The sequence below is a fragment of the Homo sapiens genome, chromosome 12 (assembly GCF_000001405.40).
Source record: "Homo sapiens chromosome 12, GRCh38.p14 Primary Assembly".
In the NCBI taxonomy this organism is placed as follows: Eukaryota; Metazoa; Chordata; class Mammalia; order Primates; family Hominidae; genus Homo; species Homo sapiens.
This window is the reverse complement of record NC_000012.12, coordinates 80,048,436-80,053,093: the sequence shown is the minus strand read 5'-3', so window position 1 is coordinate 80,053,093 and position 4,658 is coordinate 80,048,436.

Genomic DNA, 4,658 nt, shown 5'->3' with positions numbered 1-4,658 from the left:
AAAAAGACACTGCCTTGAAACAAGGACCACGATTTCCAAATATAGATCAGGAGCCCTAGAACAACTCTACAGATTTTCTAGATATCGCTTACCCAACTTGTAGGATAATACCTTAATCATAACTTTTCATTCATCTACTCAATCATGTATTCAACAACTATTTCTTGAGCAGCTACTAAATGCTGGGCAGTGTTCTGGGTGCTGGAGAAAAATGAGTGCACAAAACGAAGTCCCTATCCTATTGAGTTTACACTTTAGTTGAGGGAGAGGGGCCAGTGTGGGAAACAGATCACAAATAAACAAGTGAATACATAATGTCTGAGGGTGGAACTGCTAGGAAGAGAAAATAAGCTAAGGTAAAGGGGAAGAAAAACATCAAAGAGGGAAGGAAGGATGCTGTTTTATAAAGAGAGCTAGAGAAGACCTAGTGAGAATGTGATATTTAAGGGAGCCAGTTATAATGACATGGGAGACAAGTGTCCCAGGCAGATGGCACAGGAAGTTCAAAGGCTTTAAGGTAGAGACATGCAGGGTAGGCTCAAGGAATAGCAAGGAGATGAGTGTGATGAGAGGAGTGAGTAAGAAGAGTGGTAGGAGCAAAAGTTAGAATTGGAGCAGAAGGCCAGATCACATAGAACCTTCAAAGCCATTTCCATGTTTGTGACTTTTTATTCCCAGTGAGATGAGAGACCACTGTGGGGGTTAGAGGTGAAGAGAAACATAATATAACTAATGTATTAAAAAGATAACTAGGACAGCCTTGGTGAGAAAGGACTGGAGTGAAGGACAAGGAGCACGGAAAGAGGCAAGGAGACAAATTAAAAGCCTATTTAAGCAATCCAGACCAGAGATGATGAGGGCTTGGACCAGGAGGGAAGCAGTGGAGGTGGGGAAACGTTGTTATGGTCTGAAGTTATGTTGAAGACAGAGACAAGAGGATTGTTGTTGGATCAGAAGGATAGTGTGAAAGAAAGAGGGGAGTCAGAAATTATCCCAGATTTTTTTAAAGAGAACTATAAAAACTATAAAACTACTAGAAGAAGACATAGGGTAAACACTCCAGGACTTTAATCTAGGCAAAGATTTTATGGGTAATAACCTCAAAAGCACAGGCAACAAAACCAATAACAGGCAAATGGGACTGTATTAAACTAAAAAGCTCCTGCAGGGCAAAAGTGAACAATTAACAGAGTAACGAGGCCACCTATTGAATGACAGAAAATATTCCCAAACTACTCATCTCACAAGATGCTAGTATCTAGATTAAACAAGGAACTCAACCCAAAAGCAAAAAATAGAAACAAAAACAAATAATCCCCTTGAAAAATGAGCAAAGAACATGAATAGACATTTCTCAAAAGATATACAAATGGCCAACATATACATGAAAACATGCTGAATGTCACTAGTCATTAGGGAAATGCAAATCAACGCCACAATGAGATATTATCTTACCCCAGTTAGAATGGCTATTATCAAAAAGACAAGAAATAACAATGCTGATTAGGATGCAGAGAAAAGGGATCTGTTACACACTTTTGGTGGGAATGTAAAGTAGTACAGTCTCTATGGAAAACAATATGGAAATTTATAATAAAAAAAAACCTAAAAACAGAACCACGATATGATCCAGCAATCCCCTCTACTGGGTATTTATCCAAAGGAAAAGAAATCAATATCTCAAAGGAATACCTGTACCTTCATGTTTGTTGTAGCACTATTCACAATAGCAAAATATGTAATCAACCTAAGTGTCCAGAAACAGAATGGATGCAGAAATTGTGATAAACACACACACACACATACACACAATGAAATACTAGTCAGCCATTAACAAAAATGAAATCCTGCCATTTGCTGCAACATGGATGGAACTGAAGATCATTATGTTGAGTGAAATAAGCCAAGCACAGAAAGACAACTATTACATGTTCTCACTCATCTGTGGGAGTTAAAACAATTGATCTTATGGAGGCAGAGAAGAGTGATAGTTACCAGAGGTAGGGAAGGGCTTGTAAGGGTTGGGGAGGATAAGAGACTGATTAATGGGTATAAACATACAATTAGATAGAATCAATAAAATCTAATGTTCTATGGTAGAGTAGTTATAGTTAAAAGCAATGTATTATATACTTCAATATAACTACAAGATTCAATATAACTACAAGAGAGGACTTAAAATGTTCCTAACACATAGAAATGATTAACACATGAGGTGATGGATATCCTAAACACTTTGACTTCATCATTACACACCCTATGCATGTAACAAAATATTACATGAACCCTACAAATATTTACAAATATTGTGTATCGATTAAAAATCAGCCTATGAATAATCATTAAAAAAGAGAGATGGCGTCTTTATAGGTTGCCCATGCCGAAGTGTAGTGGCTGTTGAGGCTGAATCATTGCACACTACAGCTTCAAACTCCTAGGCTCTAGCAATTCTCCACCTCAGCCTCCCAAGTAGCTGGGACTACAGGCAAGTGCTACCACGCTTGGCTACAACTCCAGACTCTTTGGCCTCTGTAGCTGGAAGACTGATATTGCCATTTTCTGAGATTGGAAAGTATGAAAAAGAGTAAGGTTTGAGGTTGGAAGTTGGATAAGAATCAGAGTTGAAGATGTGGGCTTGTGAAGTTTGTGGTATATAGAATATATCCAAGTGGAAATTTCAAGTAGGAATCCCAAGGGAGAGGTCCAGGTTATGGGAAAAAATGTAGAGGTCATCAGTAGATTAATGGAATTTAAATCCATGAGACTAAACAAGATCAGAAAGGGAGAGCATGTATATTTACGAGTAAGTCCAAGTAGCACACTCCAATCACACAATCTGAGAAGACTTTAACAAAGGGTCTATTTAAATAGTGTGGCAGAATTTCGATAAAGAATAAAGGATGATGTATTACCCCAACACCAGGCAGCCTAATGGGTCCAGGGGAAGGAGGAATTACCAGAAACCCAGAGAAGGTAGCTGAATAGAGATGCTCCCCTTGACAAGAGCTGTAACCTTTAGTCAAGGGAGGCAACCCAGCAGTAAGGAGGCTAGAGGAAGCAATACTCTATCCCACTCTCCTCCTAAGCTCCAACAGAAAGTCAAGGGCAAAGAAGCTGTTGATATGGTGTGCTTGAATCACCTCTTAGAGCACAAACCAAAGAAGAGGAGGGGAGAAAGAAAATATGGGGAGGCAAATAAAAGAGATCCAAGCACAATCAATAAACAGGAAAAGAGACCCAAGAATTGAGCCCTAGGGAATTCCTGTTTTGTTTTGTTTTGAGACGGAGTTTCGCTCTTGTTGCCCAGGCTGGAGTGCAATGGCACAATCTCGGCTCACCGCAACTTCTGCCTCCCAGGTACAAGCGATTCTCCTGCCTTAGCCTCCCGAGTAGATGGGATTACAGGTGCCTGCCACCATGCCCAGCTAATTTTTGTATTTTTAGTAGAGACAGGGTCTTGACATGTTGGCCAGGCTGGTCTTGAACTCCTGACCTCAGGTGATCCACCCGCCTCGGCCTCCAAAGGGAATTCCAGTTGTAAAGGTCAAACAGATGAGGAGTGTGGTAGGAAGAATTGTAAGATGACCCCCTAGAATTTCTACTCCTTGGTGTTGATGGCTTGTATGGTCCTGCCCCTTGAGTGTGGCAGGACCTGTGACTTGCTTGTAGACAACAGGGTATGGCAATGTTGAAGGGATTTCAAGATGAAATCAAGATCCAAATTAATTGTTTTGAGTTAATCAAAAGGAGATGTTCCTGGTGGGTTTGACTTAACCAGGCAAAAGGTCTTAAAAGGGGGGATGGGGAGGGGACTAGGTTGACCTTGATGTAAGAGACTCTCTTTGTGGTCTTGAAGTATGCAGCTATGCTGGAAAAGCCAGTGTAGCAAGGAATTAGTGTGATCTCTAGGATCAAGAGTGGTCTTCAGCCAACAACCTCCAAAGAGCCAGGCCCTCAGTCATTCATCCACAAGAAAATTATTTTGCCAATGGCCTGAGTGAATTCAGAAGCAGAATCACCTCCAGTTGAGCCTCCAGGTAAGAATGCAGTCCAGCCATATCCTTGATTACAGTCTTGTATGACCTTGATCCAAAGGCCCAGTTAGACTATGCCCTGACTCCTGACTCATAGAAATTGTGAGATAATGTATCTGTTTAAAGCCCACTAAATTTTTGGTAATTCCTTACACAACAAGAGAAAACTAATATAAGAAGAAACCAGCAAAAAAGACTGAGAAGAAGAACCAGGGAACAGGAGAACCAAGAAAGTGGCATTCCAGAAGTAAATTGAAGAAAATATTTCAAGAAGAGAGTTACAGTTGTGGCAAATGCTTCTGATGGTTCCAGTCAGATGATAACAGAGAACTGATCATTAGAATTTAATTGCATGGAAGTAACTGGTAGCTTTAACAGGTAGATGAGGAAAAAAGCCTGATTAAAGTGGATCCAAGAGAGAACGGAGAGAAAAAAAAGTGAGCTGCTGACTATAAATTTTTCAATAAGTTTTGCTATCATAGAGAAATGTGGCAGTAGCCAGAGGCAAATGTGGGGTCGAGGGAGGGTTCCTTCACAATAAGAGATATTGTACTATTTTTGAAGGCTCATTGGGGTTACCAAATAGAGAGGAGGTAAATGATGACAGAAGAAAGAGAGGCAGAA